The following is a 27400-nucleotide window of genomic DNA, read 5'->3' on the forward strand; positions in this document are numbered from 1 at the left end:
ATAATTACTGAGCACTTGCTGAGTGTCAGACTTGAACAGGATCTAGAAGACAGTCCCAAATGCATGGGTGAGGTGGGAGCCTCCTAAATATGTTTGTAAACATATCCTGGATGTTACTGCTGCATGGGCTGTCGTTAGGCCTGTGGCCTCTTAGCTCAGTAGTCCTGGAAGAGGGCTAAAGGGCTGAAAGCCCAAGTTCAACATTAGGGATTCCTCCTTGTGCTGGCTGGCTAACCCTAGAAATCTGTCCAAAGGGGGTCCAGCAAGCAAGTGAGTCACTCACCATTAGGAGACAAACACTCTGCAGTGGCCATTTCATTGGCAGGGCTTCCAAGCACTGTCATCCAACAGATGAGGCACTTTGGACTCTGGCTGGTTTGAGACAGGGAGAACTTAGAACTAACACAGTCTCTTGTTTACAATCCCCACTACCCCACAGCAAATACAATTTTCTTCTACTTCTCTTCAAATGCACTCCCTCTAGTCTGTGCTGAGCATTTTACATACATAATATCATTGAGCCTGACTGGAATATTAGTAATGCATATTAATATTCCAGTGTTACAGATGAGGAGAGTAAGCTCCAAAAGATGAAGCAACTTGCCCAAGGTCACATAGGCAGAATTTAAATGAGCCCTGTAAATCAAAAGCCGTGATTCCTGCAAAGGGCAAAAGCAGAGGGGAGCAGTAGAAAAATATGAGGAGAGATGGAGAGAGATAGAAGGGAAGAGCCAAGAGAGGTGGGAAGGATGGAAGAAAAGGATGGAGAAGGGAATTAGGAAGAAAGAAAGGTGCCAAGACAATTCTTCCAGAAGAGCAGTGAGAGAGAATTACATTTGTCCTCTACTTGTCATCTACAGAGGTTAAAATGAAATCCTGGCAGGATTTCAAATTACTGTATTCATGTTTAAGTCAAAATTGTATCCATTTGCCTGTTGTCATACATCTCATGAAGGGTTGACAAGGCCAAAATTAGGTGGCTTCTTTCTACTTGTTTTGTTTTGAACCCAGCAGTGCAGACTCATAATGGCACATTCTTCAGTTTGCTTCCAGGCATCTTCCTTATGTGACAGCCGTCACTGTTCATCATGGAGTTTTCACTTGAGCCTTAAGACCATGTTCATACCTTTGAACGGTGTCACCCATTCAGGGACTTGATTTCCAGGGGGATCATCAATTTCTTCCTTTTTGGAAAACTCATTAGATTATCTACTATGTATGTGCCAGGAATTATGCTAATCAGTGGGGATGGTGAACTAAATGAGCCGCGGCTCCCGCTCTCAAGGACTCACAATAAAGCAGAGTATCCAGGCCTGTACAATAAGGATGATGAGAGTAACACTGATTAATGCTACACAATGAGGTACGTGGGAGACACGAGGCATAGAGGAAAAGCAGACACACTACTGAAGAAAGAAGACAAAGGATTATGACAGCTACGGAGACAGAGCACCTAGTCGGAACACCTGTCCAGCATCAATTCTTTCTTCTGCTGTTAAGAGCACCTTTGACTCTCCTCTGAGGACTCACCTATACTCTCCTTCCAGGACAGATGATTTGGTGGGGCTAGCTCCACCCCCTGACTTAAGGTAGGGGCATGTGACTCAGGTCGGGCCCATCAGAAGAGTCACGTGACACAGACTAGATTAACAGAGATAGTCTCAGGATTTTTTTTTTCCCCAATAGAGACATAGGGGAGCCAACTTTCCTTTGAAATTTTTAACCTGTTTGGCTCTAAATGTGGAGTTTCTGGGTAAGGGTTGGGGGGCATCATATAACAAAAGCAACACTGAAAATGAAGGCAGTCTAGAAGTAAACAAAGCCCAGCAATGCCAAGAAAAATGAGACACTGGTCTTCTGACCTCGTTAGAGCCCTCGGGTCCAATTGTGCCTAAGGCCATTATCCTCCTTGTCTTCTTTCTCTATTTAGTGAAATCAAGGTTTATCCCTTGCAGTTGAAAGAGCTCTGACAATACAAAAATGCTTGGTTGTTTTAGGAAAATTAATGTTTAAGTAAAAAAGGCAAAGTCAGGTTTAGAGTTAAATGGAAGATACCTGTTCCCTGCTGGGATTTGGATAGCCTCACAGAGGTTACAGGAGTTTTGATCTTCTCTTGAGGCAGAATATCTTGTCGGGCTAGGAAGAAACCACGGGAAGTGAATGCTGATGAATTAATGGTGCAGAGTGGGAGGTGATTCCATGTGTGAGTAAAGCAAGCGGCTTGGGAGTACTCTGAGGACAAGTCCATGAATGCAAAGCGGGAAGACAGTAGGTGAGGAGTTTCTCTTAGAGACAGACCACTCTGAGGCTGACTGACAGAAGATGCAGCCTGTGACCTACACCTACACCTACAGGACATCTGGCTTTGACATATTTGGGACTATCAGTGGAAAAGTCACCAACTGTCTTTGAAAAGTACTCTTGATTTCCATGTTTTTTCTGATACTATTTCATTTGGAAACATAATTTAAATGGTTTAAGTAAACTAAATCCATTAGCGGTTGACTTTAAGTCTTAAAATCTAAATTTTCACAGGGGAGAAGAAAAGACCTTAGATGCCCTATGCCCATTAGAAATAAAATTTAAGGCCAGGCATGGTGGCTCACGCCTGTAATCCCAGCACTTTGGGAGGCCAAGGCAGGCAGATCATTTTAAGGTCAGGAGTTCGAGACCAGCCTGGCTAACATTGTGAAACCCCATCTCTATTAAAAATACAAAAATTAGCTGCACTTGGTGGCATGCGCCTGTAGTCCCAGCTACTTGGGAGGCTGAGGCAGGAGAATCAACTGAACCCAGGAGGCAGAGTCTGCAGTGAGCCGAGATAGAGCCACTGCACTCCAGCCTGGGCAACAGAACGAGACTCCATCCCCCCTCCAAAAAAAAAAAAAAATTAAATTAAATTAAATTAACTAGATTTTTCCTGTGGATTCAGCAATTTATCCCACAGTAAATACTTACTGTAAGCCTCCTGTGTACCAGGCAGGGCCACAGAGTTGGGCAAAAATTAGATAAAATTTCTGCCCTTCTGGAAATGAGAAAACAGGATTTACAGTGTTTACCATGAGTTTTTTTCTTAGTAAATGTCAGCTCTTCATAGCTACCCTGCAGGATTGCACCTGGAAAATCAAGAGCTTGGGCTAAATCAGTATTGACAGAAAAATATACTATGGGAATTTGCATAAATCCCTGACACAAAGTTATTTCCTTTTGATTTGCTATTTTCCTAAATCTAAAGGGCTCACAGAATGAGAATATTGTTAATGGATGGCCATGAATACCCAGGTTAAGCACAAGCTCTGATGAGTTAAGTTTTGGTTCACTAAGAACTAGCACTCATTATATTTCCTCATGACACTAGAAAATACGTGCAGTTACTATTACACATATTATTAATGTGGAAAATGCTTCCTGACAGCTTGTCATGTATTGGACATTGTGCTAAGCATAAAGGTAGCACAGGAACACTGAGTGATTTGCTTGGGGCTACTCAGCCAGGAAGTGGCAGAGACAGGGCTCAAACCTGTCTGTTTGACCCCAAAAGTCTATGAATTACTGAAGTAGAAATATTCTGAGTAATTCCCTGTGGCCATGAAATCATAGTTACTTCCTCAGAGCTTCGTGTACTATTTAGATAGAGGAGAAAGCCTGGTTTACCACAGGAGTTCCAGCACCAACAAAGAGAATCAGAGATTTCATAGTGATGACAAGTTCTGCTTTCAATAGAGGACTTTCCTTAGTTATAAAGAGGGAAAGAACATGACTCTGTAATAATGACTTCATTAAATGCAGCCTTACCCATCTATGGCCCTAAAACATTACCAACCAGAATCAAAAAAGAGGTAGAACGTTTTCTCTCTTGAGAATTTTCCAAGACTTTACAAACATGACCCCATTAATCCACTCAATACCCGGATGAGATAGGTAGTTGGAAGTTATTATTATTATCACTTTCAAGATAGAATATCTGAAGCCAAGAGAGATTAAGCAATTAGTTTGGGGTCAAATGGTGAGCCAGAGACAGGCCTGGGAATGAAACAATTATCTTCCGAAATTCCAATCAAATGCAGAAACTGATTGGCTGGCTACCACTATGTGCTAATATCCAGTTATATGCCCTCCTCCTTAAATGACTGGCCTTAAATGAGATTTCTGCAGCTGCATCGAACTGGATTGGTTCAACAGCAATGTCCAAACTGACATCAGATTTTTCTAAAGTATTGGCTAAAAAATAAAAAATGCAACTCCTTGCTCCAAATGTGGTATTCATTTTACCTAGTTCTTACATTTAATCAGACCTGTGCACGCACAGTTTTGGAGGATAAAGGGAGAATTGTTCTACAAAGAAGTGCTGGTTGTGTGTTCTTTTCTTTAGAGAATCTGTAGAACGTAGAAAGGTTTAGGGAGCATCTTGAAATTTCTCTGATGTTGAGACTGAGAAAAGATGAACATAAATGATCTTTGAATTGTACAAAATCTGGAATCCAATTACTCACCTTTGAGCTCATGTTCACTCGTCAGTCAAATACCCTTTACTCTTTTCATCTGTGTACTTTTAACAGTAGGTAAAGTTGTATAATCCAAAGTCATCAGTTAGGAAAAGAGAAGGCTTCCAGGTGGGCCAAGAGAAATCTATTCTTTGAGCTAATAACTCCAAGGGCATACGCAAAGAAAATTGGTCTGTTGGAGAAAATGCTATTAATGACCCCTCTTGTCCAATTTTGTAAAAGGCCCTGCCCCTCCAAATTCCTGAAGCAAATTTTTATTCCTTTCTGTCCACCTGAGTCTTTGGTGATTTAAAATAAATTACTCTGTTATCAATTTTGACTGGTTTGGGGCAAGGTGAGGTTTTGGTGAAATCGTTATTATCAAAAGGAAAATAAGGCCCCATTTAGTTAGATTGGTGGGAGGGCAACAACCCCTTTACAACTAGCCACACGTCATGCTATGAGCTTGTTCTTTAAGAATTCAGTGGCCACTTCTGGATTTGTTGGATTTCAGTTTCTTTGAGCAGCCAAATCAGACTCTTGGAGAAATTCTTCTCCCATGACTTCATAATTTCTGGAAGTACAGGAGATTTGGGACTGGTCACCTTAAGAAATTCCAATTCTGTCTCCTATCACTGCTCAATCTGTTCAATCTTTTTTCGACCCCTTTGGTCTTGTGCTGATGGGGTCAGCTCCTTTCAGAAAACACCAACTGTGACCCATGCCTACTGCAGGAATGCTAGCTTGCTAATGCACAGACATTGTGGGGAAACAATTTTAAAGCTTATCCATTTTCTTTCTTTTTTTCAAAAATCAAACACTTTTTGTGGAATCAAAAGTCAAGACAATTCCTTCCCTGCAACTTAGTTCCACCTTGTTTCTCTCAAGCTAAAAACATAATGTTCAGAAACCAGAACATCAACTAGAGTTTGGGACCCAAATCTGACACCTTGCAAAGAACTATCTTAAGCATTTCCAAATGGAGTTATAATGTCTTGATATTTCCAAAAGTCCTAGTAGGTTTCAGACATGGGATATTTTCATAGAACCCATTAAGCTACTATGTTTGAAGAATGTTGAACAGCATGGCAAAGAATCATGCTGTAAAATCAACTAAGACAGGCATTTTGTATTACAAAAGAAACATTGAAAACCACGGCTACGGATTTTGGACATAGGCAAAGGTACTGAGACCTAATCAACCCATGGCTAATCCTAAAGCCTTAAATTCTTATAGATGTGTGAATATGTAGCATTTGTGTGGGAAAGAGGAAATGGTCCTATTCAAACTGAAGGCTTATGGTGCTTATGCCATACTGGCATTAGGCCTTTTTCTGTTTTTCTAACCAGGCCCACATTTCTTATCACACAAGTTGGGCAGGTCTTTCCTGAATTTTTAAAACCTGGTGTTTTATTGTCCAAAACTCTTGCTCTCAACTTGAGTTCATGTGTCTTGTGGAAGTACAAGTGGTAATTATACAAGTCTTTCCTTCCCTGTCATTGGCAACAGTAACCAGGGAAATTTACAGCCCCCAATATCCAGATCTGGAAACTGGTTATTAAACGTGGTCAAGGAAAACCCTGACGTGGCAAATGGGATCTGAGCAAGGACCAGCTCAGCAGTGGTTCTTGTGAGAGAATGGCTGGGAGTCAGCAATCTTACTTGATTGAACATTTTTATTATTTGTGATTTTATTACTGGTAATAATACCTATCATTTCCATTTGTTCAGGATCTATTATGTGGTTGGCATTGTGTTAAATGACCATTTGATCCTTGTTAAAAAACAAAAACCCAAACCTTCTGGAGTTGTATTACAATTTTAGGATGAGGAAACAAACACAGAGAGACTGAATAACTGGCCAAGGATTACTTATTTGGCATGCTGTGGAGTCAGGATTTTAAGAGACTATAAACCCAGATGCACTCAGGGGTCAGGCAGGTTACACACAAGGGTGAAGTTGGCCAGGTGTAACATTTTAGAGTGAAGTGAGGACAAGAGAAATGGCAAGTATACCCAACACTTCCACAGGCTTGCAGGGCTCCAAGCCTACCACTACTGCACCATCAAAAAATTTTAGCCAGGTGCAGTGGCTCATGCCTATAATCCCAGCACTTTGGGAGGCTGAGATAGGAGGATAGCTTGAGGCCAGGAGTTCAAGACTGGCTTGGGCAATATAGTGAGACCTCAACTCCATAAAATAAAAAAATTAGCTGGGCATGGTAGTGCGTACCAATAGTCCCAGCTACCCAGAAGGCTGACACAGGAGGATTGCTTGAGCCCAGGCGTTGGAGGCTGCAGTGAGCTATGATTGCACTACTGCACTCCAGCTGCAGCAACAGAGCAAGACTCTGTCCCAAACAAACAAACGAACAAAAAACAGGAGTTAGAGAATAAATTTTGGGGCACGGTGGCTCACACCTGTAATTTCAGAACTTTGGGAGGCCAAGACAGGTGGATCACTTGAGGTCAGGAGTTCAAGACAAGCCTGGCCAATATGGAGAAACCCTGTCTCCACTAAAAATACAAAAATTAGCCAGACATGGTGGCACAGGCCTGTAATCTCAGCTACTCGGGTGGCTGAGGCAGGATTGCTTGAGCCTGGGAGGCGGAGGTTGCAGCAAGCCAAGATCATGCCACTGCACTCCAGCCTGAGCGACAGGGTGAGACTCTGTCTCAAAAAAATAAAAATAAAATAAAAAAAGAAAGAAAGAAAAGAAAGAAATTTTTAAGACATAGTGCCTGCCCCCAAAAAACAAAAACAAACAAACAGAAGAAACCCTGAAGCCTACATTTATTCCATAGGCCTTAGTTTTCCAACCCCTGTGATGTGAAACTGGATTAATGCTTGATGGCATTAAAATTTTTTAGGGTAAACCCCTTTTTTTTTTTTTTTGAGAAAAAAAATTGTTGCCCAAGCTGGAGCTCAATGGCGCGATATCGGCTCACCGCAACCTCTGCCCTCCCGGGTTCAAGCGATTCTCCTGCCTCACCCTCCCGAGTAGCTGAGATTACAGGCATGCACCACCATACCCGGCTCATTTTGTATTTTTAGTAGAGACGGGGTTTCTCCATGTTGGTCAGGCTGGTCTCAAACTCCCAACCTCAGGTGATCTGCCCACCTCGGCCTCCCAAATTGCTGGGATTACAGGCGTAAGCCACTGTGCCCGGCCTAGGCTAAACCTTTCAAATAAGATAAAACAGAGAGGTAGAAAAGTACACAAATTGTAAGTATATCACTTGATGAATTTTCACAAACTGAACATGATCATGTAATAAATTTCCAGGTCAAGAATCCCAACTCCTAACCCTATATATTAATTTTGTCTTTTTCTGAGCTTTATATAGATAGAATCACACAGTATGTCCTCTTTTGTACATCTGCTTTCACCCAGTAGGCTGTAAGATTTGTTCCTGTAGCAGCAGGAAGCAATGGTTCCTTCTGAAGAGCTTTTATTCTCAAATCTGGTGCTTGATTTATTCACCCGACATATTAGTTCATTCTAATGCTGCTATAAAGAACTGCCCAAGACTGGGTAATTTATAAAGGAAAGAGGTTTAATTGACTCACAGTTCAGCATGGCTCAGGAGGCCTCAGGAAACTTACTATCATGGTGGTAGGCAAAGGGGAAGCAAGGCACTTTCTTCACAAGGTGGCAGCAGGGAGAAGTGCAAGCAGGGGAAATGCCAGAGGCTTATAAAATCATCAGATCTCGTGAGAACTCACTATCATGAGAACAGCATGGGGGAAACCGCCCCACTGATCCGGTCACCTTCCACCAGATCCCTCCCGCGACATGTGGGGATTATGGGAACTACGGTTCAAGATGACATTTGGGTGGGAACATAGCCAAACCACTATCACCTGAGTATCTTATACCTATGCAAGGAAGGAGGAAGACTTCCTTCTCTGAATGTACATTCTAAAAATGAAAACAAGCGGCTCTAGGACTTTGTTAGAGTTGTGGAAGAGTTTTGCTATTAAAATGTGTTTTCTCATGAATTGCCTTGTTCTGTCCACTCACATCCCATATCAGGTAGTTGGGAGCTATGTTGTTCCCACTGATTATATTCAAAAACAGAGGTCACATGCAGTTACGTGACTGTATGCTTTTCCCAAGCACAGGTGTCGCAAAATGGTTAGACAACTGAGATTTTAGTTGAGGTATATTGATTACCAATCTGATGCTATTGTCACCTGAACACACACCCCTTAGCATGGTACCCAAGGCCCTCTCCCACCTCAGGGTTGGGGGGGATCTGTTCAGTCCTCTGTCACTCGGTGCTCCATCTGCAACCCCAAGGATGTTCAGGGATGCCTGTGAGGTGAGCTGGGCTGGTGCCCAGAGACTGAGGGCTTGGAAGAAATCCAAGAGGCCCGAGGGTAGCAAGGTTAAATACAGTGCACTGAGCTTTATCTAGGCTCTCCTTTTCCTTGTGTCTTGATTTCCCGTGGGAGCCACAGCCTTTCTGTGTGGTAGTCCATTCTCTTGTACTATTGGTTAACTATGGAAGTCAGTGATGAAGCCACCAGCCTCTTCAGGCCCTGTGTGCCATGTGGCCACGTTAGAGACCAAATGCATCCCAGAAACACTAAGTGGGATCTGAACCTCAGCCCCTAATGTCTCACTGGTCTGACCTGTGAGATACCTCAATACCTGCCCTAAGCAGAAGAGCCTGCTGGGCACTGGGTTCAAAGCCTGGCTCCACCACTTACTATCTGGGGGACCCTGGATGAGGTACGTAAACTCTGTAGGCCTTCTTTTCCTTGTCTGTAAAGTGAGGTCAATGATAGTGCCTGCCTCAAGGGATTCCTATGAGGATAAGAGTTCATGTAAGCAAAGCCTTTAGCACAACACTGGCATCAAATATACAATCTGGAATTGCATGCTGCTTCTGGTCATCTCTGTGGTGCTCCATTTCCTTCACTGTAAAATGTGGGTCATGACAGTATCTACCTCGTGGGACTGTTGTCAGGAATAAACAGAGTCTATCCACCTAAGTCCTTAGCATTGTGGCCAGGTTCTTAGCGAATGCTCAATAATGTTCAGTTATTTATTAGTAGTATGATTATTATTACAGATCAGTAATTCTATGAATTAGGATGTCTCTCCAATCTTTTGTAATGGCAGTCCACAGATATCAGATGCAGTCAAACCTCCAGAGTACCAAACTTAAGTCTATGTGCTTCCATGGAGCTAAAGGTACAGATGAACCTGCAGTTGGAGTCCAGCAGTGTGTCAGCCTGGTACCCTTCTTACCAAAAAGACCAACTTGTGGGTAAAGAAGCAAAGGTTCCATGTGGCCAGATGGGTTTACGTAGCCAGGCCTGAATGCCAGCTGCTGCTTCAGGAAATTCTAGGAGGCAAGAAATTCTTGTCCAGCAAGAAGTTCTCTTTCTATAAAAAGGCAACAGAATGGAAAGGGCCAACAACTTTGCACGTCCCCCCAAAAGTACCCAACTTTGAGGGAAGGTCACATGTGGTGGCTTTGAGCCCAGAAATGTTTCTTTGAGTACAGAAACAAAATGATATTTCCCCCATGTTGTTAAGGGGCAGCTGGAGGGAGGTTTTGTTCCTTCCTCTCCTTCTCAAAGAGCTTCAGGGACACATCTTCCTGTTTCAAGAGCTCTGAGGACAGTCTTGGTTTGCCATGAACTTACCATGTATGTGTGGATCAGTCACTTCTGACTTGGCCTCAGTTTCTCCATCTGGTAAAATGAAGATGTTGGATTACATGACATCTAACATACTTTCTAGCTCTGACAATCAATTACTCAGTGATTTCAGCCATGGTAAGAATTGGAAATTCATCCCCTGGCATATAAATCAAACCATTAAAGGAACCAGGGGCTGGTTCTGCAGGCTAAAAAAGGACAGCTAGCAATGAGGTTCTTCACTGATCCACAGACACGCTGTGAAGGCTGGTGAGCCCTTGCATGGACGATTGTGTGTGTATCCAAGTGGTGGCAGGGCTAGCTAGTATTTTTGCCTGCCTAGCTTTCTTGTCCCTCTCTTCTAGAATAGAATCCATTTTCCCTTGTTGGAAACTGCTCCCCCCACCCCCACCAGTGAGGCTGTCAACCACATGGCCTTGAAAAAGGTAATTGTTTGCATGATCCAAAAAAGAATCACCAAGTGTCCCTTTAGGGGACAGATGTAGATGTAGCTCAGAGAGTTAGTCTCTCCTCTAAAAATCAAAAGTACTCAAAGCTGTTGGAAGTCATCTTTACAACCAAGTGGAGAGAGCTTACCAGAGTCCAAAGCCAACCCAATAGAAAGTGCAGAGGGAAACAGGGAGAGAAGAAGGAGGGGAAAGGGAGAAGAAGGGGAGAGGGAGGGAGAGACAAGAAAAGGGAGAAAGAAAAAGGGAAGAGACAAAAGATGAGAAGGAGGAAGAGAGGGAGGGATCAGGAGAGACAGAGGAAGAGATTGAGAGAGTGAGAAAGAGAAAGGTAAAAAGAGAAAGGAAAGAAGAAAGGAAGAAGGGAGACAATGACAGTAACTTAAATTTCCTAATGTGAACTTCTGATTTTCTAATTTGAACCTCTAGATCCAGTTGTACATAAAGGAAGACTTACGTCTTTGCCTTTCCAGTTAAATGAGCCAATGACTTCCCTTTTTACTTAAGTCCATAGGGTTCTTCAAATGGGGATCCATGACCCTCAAAATGTTAGAAACTGCACAATTGGAGCATTTATTAGAGATAGAATGAACTCACTTCAGAAAGAAACAAGGTTTATTTGATGAATATAAATAAGGCGATCAGCACAAAGTACTTCTCATACACATGACAACAAATTTATGAACTGTACATACCTTGTACATTGTTCTACTAGACACGAGGTTACAATGACTGGCTAATACATGCCCACTGGTAGTTTCCAGGGTTCCTTAGTTTTATTTATTTATTTTTCATATCGATGTCCATAATCACATGGTCAATATCACAACCCACATGCCACTCACTTGAAGAAATATTACAAGAAGCACTATCAAACGAGGGTCTCGGGGAATTAGATACACTGACCCTGGGCAGCATTCAATCGCCACTCTACACAAAAACATTGCAGATAGAGCTTACGTCAACACATCTGAGGTCTCGTCATAAACACTGTTTAAAAAGTAAATTGAAACCCACTTTCAAATGAAAGTTGACACGCTGTTAACGTGCATACTGGATACACAAAAATCATTAAATACAAAATTGAGACTGTACATCGAAATCAAATGGGGTATAAAGCACAAGCCTGCTTTTGCACAAAGTAAGACCAACTTCTCCTAAATGTTAGCCCAAACTTCTTTTTTCAACTATGTTATGATTAGAAGAAAACCTGTTAAAGTTTGCGCAAAGGAAATAGCTTCCCAACATCACAGTGTTTGTTGTAAACCCAGAGACTATTCTTAATATGTGAAAAAGGGATATTTTTGGTAACCCCCAAACATCAGAGAATATTACACGAAATGGGAAAGGTTGTTATGTTAGAGAGAATTTAATTTTTAAGGGACTAAATTATACGACCTCATAAAGGTAAGATCAGTAATATTTTAACCAATGAAAGTTGGGCAGAAAATGATCCCTCCAAACAAGAGCTGTGACAAAATTGGCACATACATAGAAATAGCTAGCTATACATGGGTTGGTTTTTTTTTTCTGTTTCAAGGACCCTATTTTCCCTACTGGATTTCCTACTTCCTACTTCAAGTATTCAGTTGCAGAGTTCAGGTCAAGACCTGGTTGTAGGAGGCAGTGAGAACCACTTCTTTGAGGACATCCAAACTGTTCACTGGGACACATTTGTGGCCTGGGTTTTCAGTGCAACATTGTGTCAAAATGTGCTAAATAAGCTTGCAAAGAACTCTGCTTACTTCTCTAACCAAGACCTAGATCCCTCTGATAGTTAAAGGACAAACTTTTAAAACATGAATGCATTTGGATTGTTTATGCAACACATAAGCATTACATAGTTTGTTATACTTACTGATGACAAGAACAAAGCCAGAAGCAAGAAACCTGCTTGAGTATCTTAACCGCGAATGCACCAAGAAAGAATGGTGCAACTCAGGGACGGTTTCATCTTCCCCGACAAATAAGGTGTTTGTCTTTTAAATATCTCTATGGCTCACAAGAGAGGTCCAGAGTTAATTGCACCAACATTTTAAAAAGTAATAATAATGACTAAATTCAATGCAAGACTTCAGGGACATCTGTTTAGAATCCTTTCCACAGCAGCAAAGAAAGACAACTATATTTATTAAGGCCACTCATGCTTAAATTCACTGTTTGTCCTTTAAAAATGCAGGTTTTCATCTCCCACTTGCATACACGTGGAAGGGTTTCTTCCATTGACAAGAAAATGGAGCAATACAAGAGTTGCACATGTTTGCCAGACTCAGTCATGAGTTTTATGAAGTTATAACAATTTAAATTGTTTCTTAATATTCAGAGGAAGCAGTAGGAGTTTAATTCTCCTTAGTACCATATCACTGTATGTAAAAGACCTCAAAATTTGGTCTTTTTCCCTGGCATGTGCTTTAAATAATGACTGTATCCACATACATGTTGTGTAGAGCTATATACAGAGACACAGCTTTTGTGATTGTTCCTCATTCATCAATGTTTTCATGTTTGATGCTGAAAATGCTTTGGAATCCATGTTGCAGACACATTTTCTTTAAAAAAAAAAAAAAAGAGAAATGACCCTTCATTTACAGAAAATCTAAGCTTACACTGTTTGCACAGCATTTGGATCTTGAAATGTGAATGAGTCCCAGCTTCTTCATGGAGACCTGCATGCACCGGGATGGTAAGAGTCTGAGGCTTGGTGGCGTCCCCACCGTGGGGATGTGCAGAACACAGGGACTAGAGATATGCAGGTGCCTCAGACTTTTGCCACTCTCCAGTACATGACTGGGTAGATAAAATTATGAATGATCAATTTAGATGTGCCACGCATTGTCAGAGACACACACCATGTTCTCATAAGGCGATTTCTTGGCAAGCATTAGTGGTTTAAAAAATTGATTTCTTTTCCAACCTGGCCCAGAGGTGACTACTGGTTACACCCTCAAAATGCGGTTCTTCAAACAACAGATTAAAGAAATAGAGGAGGGTAAAGGCTCGCAATTTTTGGTGTTTTTTGTTTCTTCGTCAAACACTCCATGCATCATGGTATACAAACACTGCCAACACCACTCACTCACAGCGAATTTATACTTTTTGATAATCTAATGCATTAGGAATGACCAATTAGAGTGAACCAGCAGGATACTGGAGATGAGGCTAGTTGTCCAACAGAAGCTGAATCCACAGATAAAATCCCATGGAGTTCAAATTTATCCAATGATGTTTAAGTAACATAAACAAAATGTTATCAAATAATGACATTCAGCAAAGATGATCACATTCAAAATGCCCGCATCCCAACAAAAATGGAGGATCTGTCACTTTTCTCCTCCTCTGCATTCTTCCTTTCCATCATAACCAAATCCATGAGAAATGACATGAGGTGGTGAAGGAAATATCAAGTAGAACAGAATCACGCTCAATAAGGTAAGTGAAAACTCCCCTTCAGTTCTGATGAGCCGCTCCAGGTGGTGGTGGACAGTGATGTGAGCCGCACTGCAATACATTATCAGAATATTGCTGCAGAGCTGCATGTTCCCTTTATTCAGCCCTTCTAATAGCTGCAACAAGAAAGCACATAATTTAGCAGGGGAAGAAACTGGCAACAATATCTGAGATAATCCTGGCAGAACGTTTCCCACTCTTCACCCCTACAACAGCCTCTCCACCACTCTCAATGGTTGGGGTTGGGTGGGAGTGGGGAGGGGGTAAGGGGAAGAAACACAGAGGAAGGACAAAGGAAACAGAAAGATAAACTACGTCCTGCAAGTGCATCTGAGAAGAGGCCTCTTTCAAAATATGTCACGTATATGTATAAATGTCTCTTGATATACAAAAAAGGAAATTGAAGGGAAATATGCCAAAATGTTCCAGTGATTATTTCCACATAATCGGACTATATGTCAACTTTTATTCTCTCTACGCTTTTCTACAATGATGATGTTTTTAAAATTATTTTTTAACTTGATTTTATGGAGATTAAAGAATTAAAGGTGGTTAAGATATCAGAGAACTTAGCATGCACTTAAAAACCAACCAAACATAAATGTGACAGTCATCCATTTGTCTATTTACTGCCCTGGGGAACAGGTATCCAGAAGCACCCCAAGGTTTCTCACTGTCCCAGTGAGGGGCCCAGAGTGTGGATACAACTGCATCCTGGGAAGCAATAGTGCAATGAGTGAGAAGGGGGATCCCTCCCACACTACTGCTTCAGATGAGGACTTTCTTCCCTGCTGATGCTCAACTTTGTGTGCCTGTGCCATTATCATTCACATATGGCCTGTGAGTGCTTCTGGGTTTCCAGCCACATGAGCTCAGCTATCTGGGAAATATGGCAGGGAGAGGAAAGATCAAACATACACACACACACTCGTGTACACACAAGTCACCTTGTATATATATCCTGAGCTGTCTCATTTGGTGGTTGATATGCAGCATTTTTCGAGTCACGCCGACTAACAAGAATGCCAAAGATCCCAGTGTCTGCACAGGTAGCCAGCTATTTCAAGCCATCGTTAAGTAGTGCAAATGAAATATGTGGCTTGGATGAACTCTGCTAATTCATACTCTGAGGACTTTGGTGTAACCCTTCTGGTTAAGAAACTTGAATCGGGGCAAAAAAATGACTTTTGCAGAGCCAGAAAGTTAGGGAGTTCCTAGAGCAGATCATATTACTCATTCTGGCACATAAACTCTCTGCAAACTTTGTATGAAAATTGTAAGTCAGAGCACGCTTTCTGTTTCATGAGCTGTGCATAGCTCTAATTCTTTTGTGCATTAAGCATTTCTTAATCATCCTTTTAAAGGGCTGACCAATATATTAAAAGGCCACATGATTAAAAGGTAAAGAGAAACCCTAAGTAGTATTAAAATGCACCAGTCTTTTGTTTTGTTTTGTTTTACAGATGAAAAATAATTACAGTGAATGTCTGATGTCCTTGATGTTTTTCCAAGATAAAGTAGCAAAGAACAGTCATTTATTCAGTTGTGAGAAAGATTTCCAGCTGGGCAGCAGGTCACAAGGCAGAATACAATGCCCCACAATTGCAGCAAACTGCTTTTGGGTAAGGTTTATGCTGGAGACAAGAGAATTCTCAAAAAGTGTAGCCATTCTTTCAATCGAACAATCCATTCACCAGGAGGCCTAAATGGCTTTAAGGAAAAAAAGAAAAACAACAAGGAAACCTCAAGTGACACCGCCAGCATTTAGAAATGCAGATGATCCCTTCTGGGGGGGCAAAGAAGCATATGCTTTAAAAATAAAAATAAAAAACGAATCCTGGCTTCCAGCAATGAGCCAATCTGGGCTGCCACCCACTGTGAGATGATCCCTGGCCAGTCCTCCCTCACCTGGACAGTCACAGCGGCCCTTACCCTTCTCCAGCTTCCTCTTACAGCACCCAACTCTGCGCTTTCAACGCAGCAGCCAACAACAGCGCCATTTCAATGGTGACATCCAGTCCATAGTGCATTCCCGTTTACAGTTTACAACTCCTGTTTACAACCCTGTTTATAATCCCGTTGCCCTGAGAATGCAGGACTGATGGACTCCTGGCCATACTGGCGAGGCCCCATCTGGCCTCTCTCTCTGCAGTCCTGTACTTAACGCTGACATTCCACTCTTTATGTTCCACCAAAGCTGAGCTTGCTTCTGCAGCCCTAAAAATTTATTTTCTCCCCCTCTCACAAGCGTGTCTCTCTATCTAACATGATTTACACCAGCTCTTTATCTGATCGATCCCTGTTTATTCCTCAGTTTCAGCTTGGATGTCATGTCTTCCCAAGAAGCCTTTCTTGACCCTCTCGGATGTGATATAGAGTGGGAAGTCTCACATATACTGCAGAGTCCCCTTCTGATGAATTGTCTAGACTTGTACATCCAATAGAGCGTGTGTGCATGTATGTATATATATATATACATATCTTTTATTTTAAGGCAGGGTCTTGCTGTGTCACCCAGGCTGGAGTGCAGTGGTGTGATCATGGCTCACAGCAGCCTCGACCTCCTGGAATCAAGCAATCCTCCTAGCTCAGCCCCTCAAGGAGCTAGGACTACAGGCACATGCCACCATGTCTGGCTAATTTTTGTATTTTTTTACAGAGATGTGTTCTCACTATGTTGCCCAGGCTCGTCTCAAACTCTTGGGCTCAAGTGATCCACCTGCCTCAGGCTCCCAAAGTGCTGGGATTACAGGAATGAGCCACTAAACCCAGCCTACCAGTTTAGAGAGTACCTCAGGTAGGCAGAATCCTTAAATCTACTCCTTATCCAAGATTCCCTATCCGAATCCCTGGCACAGGGAGTGAGAACGTTTCAGACCACGTTTACTATAAAGTTACCTTACAGATGTAGTTACTAATCAGTTGACTTCAAATTAGTCTAAAGGGAGATTATCAACTAAGCGAGGTGGCACATGCCTGTAATCCTAGCACTTTGTGAGGCTGAGGTGGGTGGATATTTTGAGCCCAGAAATTGGAGACCAACCTGGGCAACATGGCAAAAACCCGTCTCCACAAAAAAAGTTAAAAATTAGCTGGGTGTGGTGGATGCCCCTTTGGTACCAGCTATTTGAGAAGCTGAGGTGGGAGGATCAACTGAACTGGGGAGGTCGAGGCTGCAGTAAGCCGTGATTGTGCCACTCCAGCCTGCCAATCCAGTAAGCTGGGATTGTGCCACTCCAGCCGTGATTGTGCCACTCCAGACAAGAGTAAGACCTTGTCTAAAATAAAAAATAAAATTTTTTAAAAAAGGGTGGATCTGAGTGGACCTAATTTAATGACAGACGCCCTTTAATAGCAGAGACTTTTATTTGCTGTAGCAGAAGAGAAAGTTAGGGAAATCTGAAACCAGAGGGATTGGCTGTGCTGTGATGGAGGGAGCCAGGGGCAAGGACCTGAGAGCTTCCTATAGGATGTGAGAATGTCACCCAGGTGACTGTCAGCAAGGGAACAGGGACCACAGACCTACAACCACGAGGAAATGAATTCTGCCAAAAACCCGAAGGAGCTTGAAGGTGGATGCTTCCTGGAGCCTTCAGATTAAAGTCCAGCTAAGTCCACCTTGACTTTGGCTTTATGAGATCCTAAGCAGAGAACCCAGTTGAGCCCATCTGGACTTCTGACCTATGCACAAAACTGTAAGCTAATAAATGGGTGCTATTTTCACCACCATATTTATGGTAATTTGCTATGTAGCCAAAGAAGACTAATGCAGCACCACGCTGGGTCAGGCAGTGTGCTTGATGCCAGGAATATAATAGTGAGAAAAACAGACAAGGTCCATGCTTTCATGGAGCCTGTATTCTTGGGAGGAAGACAGAAACAAATAGACACACAGATCAATAAATGAATGAGAATGTAAACATTTGCACCATGAAGAAAAGGAACGGGGAACTGTGATAGGGATGCCTAAGATTTATTAAGTGACTGATGACAATTATGACGTCAATCTTTATTTTCTTTTGATAGGAAAAGATGTCCGTCCACAACTTTTCAGTGGAAAAAGCAGATTACCATTTTATATGCATAGCTTCATCTCATTTTTGCATCAACATGCACATAAACAAACATTTGCAAGTGTATACATTAGAATATTATTAATATTTATCTCTGGGTGGTGGTTTTAAACTTTTCCCCTGTATTTAATTTTTATTTATTTATTTATTTTGAGATGGAGTCTCTCTCTGTTGTCCAGGCTGGAGTGCAGTGGCGCAATCTCGGCTCACTGCAACCTCTGTCTCCCTGGTTCAAGCGATTCTCCTGCCTCAGCCTCCCAAGTAGCTGGGACTACGGGCATGAGCCATGGTGCCCAGCCGTTAAAATTTTCTCCTTCAGACTTTTTTTTTTTTTGCTCTTTTTGGATTTTTTTAAACCTAAGAATGTATAAATAGTATCATACTAAAATATAAAGCTATTTTCTTTGTGGGGAGAAACCAGTATTGGGTGGGACTGCTGCTCTTGACTTGGTTCTAGGTGGGGGTGTGTGAGGGGCGGGGTGGGTGACTGAGCACAGCAGTAAGATTCCGCCCCAGGACAGACGCCCCAGGGAGAGCAGGCTATAAACGTGTGGTGTCTCACAAATATTCCTTCAGACTGTTTTTCTTTGGAATAAAGACACCTGCCCGATTATGGCTTTCTTCTCCTGCCCTTTCAGTAGTGATTTGCAGAAACAGGCTGGGAGAAAGGGGTCTTTGGTAAACACGGAGGGGTTAAAGGGGAAACTGTTTAATAACAGTAGTAAAACGCAGGCTATTTTTGACATCTGGGTTAATGTCCATTATGTTCCATGTGCTTTCCAAATGTGTGCAGTGTGCCCCCAGGTACAAAAACAGACACCCATTCACGACGGCTTCAGATGCCCCTAACACGCTGCACGTGGTGCCCACATAAAAGGCAAGCCCCTGATAGACTAATTAACAACGGTTGGAGGAGAAGAGCTGCTCCTTCTGGGGGCAGCGGGCATCCTGCAGAACAGCTCCATGAAGCCACTCTGCTCACAGGAAAACCCAATAGAGTCGTTTCTGCTAAAAAAAAAAAAACAAACAAAAAACCAAAACTATAACTACATCTGTGTTATTACTTAACATCTTTAAAAACGGGGTGGAATGGGTTTCCCGTTTTCCTCATGAAGATTTATTTATTATTGTTGTGATCAAAGTGGCAACAAATTATGTTAAATCATTTAATTTTCTTGATAGAAGCAACCACCTTGAAACCATAATTCAAAAAATATGAGTGGAGAGCAACATTTTACCTTGAGAGTGGACTCCTACAGCTCCACGGGGCAATAAAATGTAACACTTCAGAACCCAAAGGGCTGGGGGCTGGGATGGGGGTGGGGCGGGGCCAGCCCTGTGCTCAGAATTGCACACTGCTGTTAGGGATGACGGAGTTTGCTGGGAGGAGGCAGTGGAGGGACTTGGTATTTCAACTTTGGTTTCTGTGCACGGGGTATAACTCATCCATAACGTTTTAAATGAAGGGATTCAAATGAATATAGGCTGTGTACATCAAAATGGCAGCACAGACTGCTATGTCTCCGTAGGATTTATTTTTGTCATTATTATTGTGGTCAGAATTATTAACAGGTACCATTTGTTGCGTGCTATCTGCCACCACCCTCTGTGTTTTGCATTAATTATCTGAAACCAGCTCGATAGCACTGAGGTACTGATGCAGTTGGTTAATAGCCCCTCATGCAGATGAGGAAACGAAAGCTTAGAAGAACTGGATGCTTTTGGTAAAATTCCCCAGCTCCCTGGGGCCTCATTTGAATCCAGGTCTTTTGGACTCCAGCGACCATTCTCTCCAGAGACCACTGCCTCCTTGAGGCAAGCATTTCCTAAACCTGTCTTTTGTGTCCTACTTTTCCCATTTTTGTAACCTCTCCACAATACCTGTGATATGTAACTAACATTTTTTTAAAAATTATCTAAAAACTGGCCGGGTGCAATGGCTCACGCCTGTAACCTCAGCACTTCGGGAGGCAGAGGCGGGCGGATCACTTGAGTCCAGGAGTTCAAGACCAGCCTAGCCAACATGGTGAAACCCCGTCTCCACTAAAAATACAAAAATTAGCCAGGCGTAATGGCGGGCACCTGTAATCCCAGCTACTAGGGAAGCTGTGGCAGGAGAATCGCTTGAACCAGGAAGGTGGAGGTGGAGGTTGCAGTGAGCCAAGATTGTGCCACTACACTCCAGCCTGGGTGACGGAGTAAGACTCCGTCTCAAAAAAAAAAAAAAAAAAAAAAAATTATCAAAAACCTAAATGTTTCCTTTTTAAAGAAATATTTATTTTGCTGCCATAATAGAACCATTATCTGTCTAATATGCACTATGATAATTGCATGGCTATTAAAGTAAAAGTGCTTGTTCACAGAACACCTAAAACTATCTCCTGGATATGCTCTCCTTGCCTTCAATCAGCCTTGCCTGCAAGATGGTTCCCAGCGCCCAGCCATGGCCTTCTCCCCACTGGCAGAACCAGGCACGAGTCGGCTGGTCTTGCATATACTCTGGCCACCGGCCAGCCCCAGCACCACCCTAGTCTACATTTTGGGCTTTTGTCTTCTCAAGGGCAGAAAGCAGTGAAATAAAAGATCAGATATCTGCCATTTAACACAAGCATTAGGTACTCTATGCACTTTTTAAAGCATTGGTTGAGTAGAAATGTATTTGATTGTTTTTCCTCAAAAGAATACCTTCTTTAACAGGAGAGACTGCCCATGGCCAAAGGTCTTTGTCACTCTACTCCAAGGTTTCTCCATCTTGGTACTACGGCCATGTGGGGCTGGATGATTCTTTGCTGTGGGGGCTGCCCTGTGCATGGTAGGATGTTTAGCAGCATGCCAAGCCACTGCCCACTAGATGCCAGCAGCACTGCCCCTCTCCCAGTCATGCAATCAAAAATGTCTCAGGACATGGCCAAATATCCCTGGGAGATAAAATTGCTCCACTTGACAACCACTGGCCTAGTCAATTGTTACTGTACACAATTGGTTGACTGTGCTGTTTTAAGCAGTGATATGTTGGTAGATATGTACAGTATATGCATACATGCATCTACCAACCTATATAAGATATGAACACTTTTGGAGAAATAAAGATTAATTTCTAAGCTGCTTTCATATTATTTCAGAAACAGTTGCATAGATTGAAAAGTCCTGTGGAAATAGGTAGGTACAACCTCAGTAATAAAAATAATGAAAATGTACAACTTTTCTGACATAAAAACAGAAATGCTACAATCCTGAGATAGCGAGACACCTAAGACACTTGCTGAGTTAAGTGAAAAGGTGAAATCTAGTTTAAATTTATAGCATTCCTTCAGTGTCCCTCTAGGAGTTTGGCATTTTGCCAAGCTTCCTTGTTAAAAATTTGTTAAACGTGTTTGGCATTAATGCAAACACAAAGTGGTCATTTGTTACAAATTCTATTGGAATGCATTCATTTAAGGCAATGAAGTAGTTACTAGAAAAGAAAAAAAAAGTTCATTAAGTACATTTTAAAAATACAATGATGTATGCAGTGTGTAACTGTGGCGCCCTGGTGGCTATATAAATCGCTGACAGAATAACCACACGTTGTGTTTAGTTTGAAATTGGAATCTTTTAAACACAACCGATAGAACAAAAACTGGTTTTGTTTGTTGTCAAAACTAATGATAGTCTTTCTTTTCTGAACTAGTTAAAATAACCAAAGGTTTGGAATACAATTTCTAACATCTCAAATCAGTGTAACATACAGGTTAAAAGAATGCTTTGGGAATCTTTGCGGGTGCCACTACTGACATCAGAGATGGGGGCTGATCCAACAAACAGAACACCTGCACTCTGGAAAGAGGGGGATGTCCGAGTCATCCTGGAGAACCCCACTTGGGTAGCGCCGGTACCTCTGCTCTCTGAGCTGCCTGAGGTTATTAGGTTACCTGCAGAGGGAAAACTGTGGCTTTCATCACAGAGACAATGGTATCCTATGAACAAATATCCTAAGCCTGTGTCTAGAACTCCCACTCCCTGTCCTGCCCTAAACTGTTCACACAAAGGAATTATTGCTGAGTAATAGTGATTCCTGAGCTTGCTGAAGAAACAGTTCTGAAGCTCAGCTCCATGAGAAAGGGGATACTTGACATCATCTGAAATGTAGCCCTGCCACATGGCTGGCTATGGATGTTAATGTGGAATACCTCATCCCAGGGCCCATTGATGCTGGCTAAAAATCATTGTTAAAGGTGAATGAAAAAACTCACCATTTCCAAGAAGTATTCAGAAATGATTTACTACTTTCTTCTTCCCTTTCTCTCTCACACGCTGACATATTTAATACTTAGTACCATGAAAGTGTCCAGATAATAGAATTCCAGTGGTCCTGAGACCCTGGGACCAGATCAAATTCCCATGGCTCCCAAACTTCCTTATATTGATCTCTTCTGCCATCTGGGTTTGATATTATCTAGGCTGCCCTTGAAGCAGATGGATCCAGGATCTCTTGATCCCAATCTCTGGAAACATTCTCCTAGTTAAGGGTAAATTTAGGCTGGACATCATGGTTCATGCCTGTAATCCCAGAGCTTTGGGAGACTGAGGTGGGTGGATTGCTTGCCCAGGAGTTTGAAACCAGCCTGGGAAACATGACGAAACCAGCCTGGGAAACACGACAAAACCTCATCTTTACAAGAAATACAAAAAATTACCCAGGTGTGGTGGCAGGTGCCTGTAGTCCCAGCTACTTGGTAGGCTAAGGTGGGAGGATTGATTGAGCCCAGGAGGTCAAGGCTGCAGTGAGCCATGATTATGCCACTGCACCCCAGCCTGGGTGATAGAGTGAGACCCAGTCTCCAAAAAAAAAGGAAAAAAAAGGATAAAATTAGACAAAACCTTGCACCCTGTATGTGGCCTGGAAAAGTTTACCGTACCCTTCACAAATGCCAAACAGGCTCAAGAAACAAAAAGGCAGCCAGGCGCAGTGGCACACACCTGTAATCCTAGCACTTTGGGAGGGCAAGGGGGACAGATGGCCTGAGAGCCTGGCCAACGTGGTGAAACCCTGTCTCTACTAAAAATAAAAAAATTAGCCGGGCATGGTGGCAGGTGCCTGTAATCCCAGCTACTCAGGAGGGTGAGGCATGAGAATTGTTTGAACCCAGGAGGCCGAGGTTGCAGTGAGCCGAGATCGTGCCACTGCACTCCAGCCTGGGAGACAGTGAGACTCTGTCTCAAAAAAAAAAAAAAAAAAATCTAAGAAGAGAGAAAATACTTATCTCCAGAAGCAACAAGAACACATGATAGGAAAGGGAGAAACACACCTTGAATACTGTGGAACACATCTTGGTTTTGTGTGGCCTAAAGTTCGTACCATTTTAGAGGCCTTCTTTCAGAAAAAGAATACATAAATAATTGACTATTTCAAGCTTGATAAAAAGATACGGCCTTGTGAACATTTCACTGGGGCACCTCCCAGGGCCTTGGAAAAGTCAGCTTACCTGAGGTGCTCCAAACGTAAGCTCCATTATCTTCATGATAATAAGCCCTGTTATCTTATTTTTGAGATGGCATTTTCAAATTCCAATGAAAATAAAGTAAAACACTGTTAAAAAGCCCTTTACTGAAAAGAACTTGGTTTTAAGATGAGCCTGCCATAGCATATACAAGTCACAGGAAGACATCTCCCTAAACTGGATCTTAAGAAAGCTGTCATGTTCGGGAAAGAGATGCCCCCTCCTAGAAAAGGAGCCAGAGAGAGGCATTCTGGAGAATTTGAAACATGAAGGAACAATTTGATATCTCAAGTTTACTGACCAGAAGTGGCTCCAATGACAAGTGTTTACAACAGGATCTTCATAGAGCCAATAATGGCAATTAGTCTCCAGGATTTGAAGGCGCCCTTCCCGCCTCACTGAGGTGGAATGCCATTTACTCTTGGGCTGGTGACTAATTAGGGGTCTCGTTTGAAGATCAAGGTTTTGCGATTCCTGCTTCTTAATAACATGGTTTGCCTGTCGGCCACCTGGGTCCAGGCGAGACCTCCCTTTCCCTCTCCCCACACAGCAAGCACTGCCTTAGGCCAGAGCAAGTGTGGGCAGGAAACCACAGATCCAGCCTTTTGAGCAATTTAACCTCTTCACCGCCAAGATCCTACAACCCAGTGCTTGATTCAGCTGTGCAAAAATGGAGGCATTTGACCTTGTTTCTCAGGCAGGGCTGAAGGCTTGCCTGTGGTGCAAAGAAACCACCTTGGAGGTGAAATGCTATGCAGCATACTTTCTTGGAGAAGAAGAGAGAGAGAAAGACTCCACTTTTCCAGGTGAGTAGCTCATCAAGAGGCTGTCTGCATTTGCTTCAGGCTGGGCCATTTCCAGAACGCCTAATAGAAGTGACTGGCAAAAGAAGGGGGTAGGCAGAGCCCTGATGTAACTGCTCATGAGACCAAAGAGGCTGAGGTGCCTGCATCTTCAGACATCTTGCCAGGACCCCGTGGCCTTGCTATGTGAGGCTGGGCTGGGGCTACACTTTCTAAGACATGGTGGGGGAGAAGCCAAAACAGCAGGAAAAGTAAGCTGCAAAGAATTAAGCTTGTAACAACTTGGGCAAAGCACAAACAGTGACTGAGGTTGCTCCTTTGGCTGTTGACACACGCTGGCCTGGGTCGGTTGTGGTCACTAAACCCATTAGCGTTCCAATGTGGCAACAGCTAATGCAGCAAGTTCAATGTGTTTTTGTTTAATTTCTAAATGCTGGGTGTATGCCTGCAAGGATGGCCTGCTGAAGACAGACAACTCCACTGCCATAAACACAGTCATCATTGTCAGTGATCTGAAATTCATTTTTTAAACTATTTATTTCTTGGCAGATAGGGGCTAAATGGAGTTTTGCATTTCATGAACTATTTTTTAACTTCAACTTGCTACACACTTCTATGTGTTTTCTAAGCAACCACCAATTCAGAGTTTCCCCGCAACAAAAGGAAATAGTCTTCTCTGGGGGGAGGGGACCATTTTTGGTAGGGGAGAAGGGAAAAGGGAAACATAAACACAAACCAGCAACCAGCTGGGTGAAGTCAGGCCTTTTAACGATATGCTGCCTCTCTGGGCCCTAATCCTCACCTGCAAACAAAGGAACAGGAAGAATGCTACCTCGTTTTGGTCTGCAGAGTTGAAAGTGAAGTGGGTTCTTAAATGAGATACAAAGGCAGATTCAGTCTGGATTTTATATTGTCTTCAATCTTTGTTTATGAAAACTACAGGAATCCTTCCTTCCTTTCTCCTTTCCTTCCCACCCTCCCTTGCCCAACAGACCACCTTAAAGGGAAACAATAACATTCCCCTCCAAAGAATGAGGAGTTTGAGAAAAGCAAGCAGAGGTTATTTCAGTGGGAATCTGAGGCCAGTCACATTTGCACAGTGCCAAAAAGCAGACATACTCTCTGGTTTGAACTTATATTTAAATCCCATGCCAAAGCCTGCCCTTGTAGGTCTGCATGAAGCACAAGGGCCCAGGGCTGAAACCCTTGGTCTCCCATCTCCAGCTCCCACTCAGGGATATAAGTGAACTCTGTAAATGTCTCCACGTGTAACTGGGAGAGCTGTAACAATGGGCCTCCAAGATGGGCCCATTCTCCCATCTGTTATGGGGCTTCCAGCTATCATACATGTTTCCAACTTAGATGTAGACGTACCCTGAGAGGGAATTTCTGTGCTGCTTTTGTCCCTGGTCACTTTGAAGATTAAAGAGAGGAAAATGTGTTTTCATAATATGTGAACTGGCTGGAAGTTTCCCTATTAAATCCCAAAGTCCTGGCAGGCAGGGTTCAGGCTTAACTCCTCTAAGACTGGGTTGGCATCCAGGACTGAAGGCTAGGAAATGCCTTTGGGCAGACCTGGGCCAGAGACCAAGGGACTGGGGCATGACAAAGTGGTCACCTGAGGCATAATGCCAGTGGGTTCCGGGGGCACCCTTGAAGCCACTGCCAAAGCCCAATGCAGCAGGACTGCAGAGTCCCCTGGAAGACCCATGGATATACCAGTGGCCTCAGCTTTGCTACGGAGAACTTGCTTGGGAGCTAGTCCCTTGAGTGATATTGCAAAACTCTACAGAGATGTATGAAATTCCTGATCCGGGGTGCCAATCCATGAACAGAGATTCCTACTGCTGGAGGAGGCACATGGCTGGGTCTTCCTTCAGAGCTTTTGCATAGGTGTTCCCTCTCACTTGGGCACTTTCCCCATCATCCTTTATCTGGCTACCTTCTGCTTATCCTTGGATGTCAGCTTCAATACCACTTCTTCAGGGGAGCCTTCCTGACTTCCCTTCCTGGTCCAATCCTCTTGCCAAACACCGTCTTGACAATTTCTCCCCCCTCTCCCCATATGCACTCCTGCTTCTGGGCAACTTGGCATCAGACATTTGTGTTAGGATCTGATTAATGCCTGACTGCATCCTAGGCTGCGTTCATGAGGACAGGCTATGTGTGTCTTGCTCACTGAAGTGTTTCTTGTGTTCCTGCCACACAGTGGGCATGCAATAAATATTGAAGTAGGTGAAGAAGAGAGCTAACTAAGTTCATTGATGGTAACACACATTTATCAAATGCTGACTGTGTGCCAGGAATAGCCCCAAATGCTTCTGCAGCAGTGATTTTCAACCTCAGCACTACTGACATTTTGGACTAGATAATTTGTTGCTGCCATAAGCACTAAAAGTGAGAGCCGGAGACAGGGCCTAACAGGAGCTTCGTATGTGTAGACTACCTATTACTCCTTCCCCTTTCCATTTTGCTGACTTCAGGTAAGTCACTTAACCTCTCTGAGCCTCAGTTTTCTCATCTCCAAAGTGAAGATAGTAACTCTAACCTCTCCAGGTGGTTGAGAACATAAAACAAAATGAACTCTGCCTATAAAGTCCCTTACTAATGGCTGGCATATAACAGGAGTGCAATGAGAAGTAGTCCTTATTATCTCCCCCTCTATACTCGCCCATACAGCAGAGAGCTGGGCAATAGGACCAGCTTGATCCTGAGTGCAGAAATAACCACAGTGGGGTGTTCATGCCCAGGTTATGTATGGGCTTGGTCATCTTCATGAAAAGATGTGTGCACAGTAAAGAGAGAACACATCACTGGGGCCAGGAAGGAACAGTGGTAGAAGGAACCCCAAGCTTCCCCAAAACTGCAAATTCCCTGCCTCCAACCTGGGGCACCTCTGGCAGCCAGCCACGTTGGCAGCCTCGTACTTTCTCTTGGGCTCTTCCTGTTGGCATAGCCCACCCTGTTTTACAAAGCTCCAGTGGTTTTT

The 27400-nt window shown here is 43.0% G+C and overlaps 2 protein-coding genes across 31 annotated transcripts in view, besides 2 other annotated features; both read right to left on the reverse strand.

Moving 5' to 3' along the window:
• WNT5A (Wnt family member 5A) overlaps positions 1 to 8158 on the reverse strand; it is a 39549-nt gene extending 31391 nt beyond the window's left edge. For 8 of the 12 annotated variants that reach the window (XM_047448859.1, XM_011534086.3, XM_017007128.2 and 5 more), the window contains exons 1-3: positions 8057 to 8158; positions 4494 to 4677; positions 284 to 2136 (exon numbers count right to left, since the gene is read on the reverse strand). The gene's annotated coding sequence lies outside the window, so the exon portion shown is untranslated. The remainder of the gene's footprint in view (positions 1 to 283; positions 2137 to 4493; positions 4678 to 8056) is intronic. The other 4 variants (XM_047448854.1, XM_047448853.1, XM_047448855.1 and 1 more) reach the window with 4 other exon arrangements.
• Positions 11206 to 27400, reverse strand: part of ERC2 (ELKS/RAB6-interacting/CAST family member 2) — a 960157-nt gene continuing 943962 nt past the window's right edge. For all 19 annotated transcript variants that reach the window (NR_132749.2, XM_017006156.2, XM_047447950.1 and 16 more), the window contains one exon: positions 11206 to 14171. The gene's annotated coding sequence lies outside the window, so the exon portion shown is untranslated. The remainder of the gene's footprint in view (positions 14172 to 27400) is intronic.
• Positions 14751 to 15252: an enhancer, noted in NCBI's record as "NANOG hESC enhancer chr3:55545884-55546385 (GRCh37/hg19 assembly coordinates)". NCBI's record gives its function as "activates a minimal SCP1, AML or CMV promoter by ChIP-STARR-seq in primed H9 embryonic stem cells {active_cell/tissue: H9 hESC(primed)}" and the evidence as "EXISTENCE:reporter gene assay evidence [ECO:0000049][PMID:30033119]".
• Positions 22396 to 22897: an enhancer, noted in NCBI's record as "H3K27ac hESC enhancer chr3:55553529-55554030 (GRCh37/hg19 assembly coordinates)". NCBI's record gives its function as "activates a minimal SCP1, AML or CMV promoter by ChIP-STARR-seq in primed H9 embryonic stem cells {active_cell/tissue: H9 hESC(primed)}" and the evidence as "EXISTENCE:reporter gene assay evidence [ECO:0000049][PMID:30033119]".

Source organism: Homo sapiens, chromosome 3 (assembly GCF_000001405.40).
Source record: "Homo sapiens chromosome 3, GRCh38.p14 Primary Assembly".
NCBI classification, from domain to species: Eukaryota; Metazoa; Chordata; class Mammalia; order Primates; family Hominidae; genus Homo; species Homo sapiens.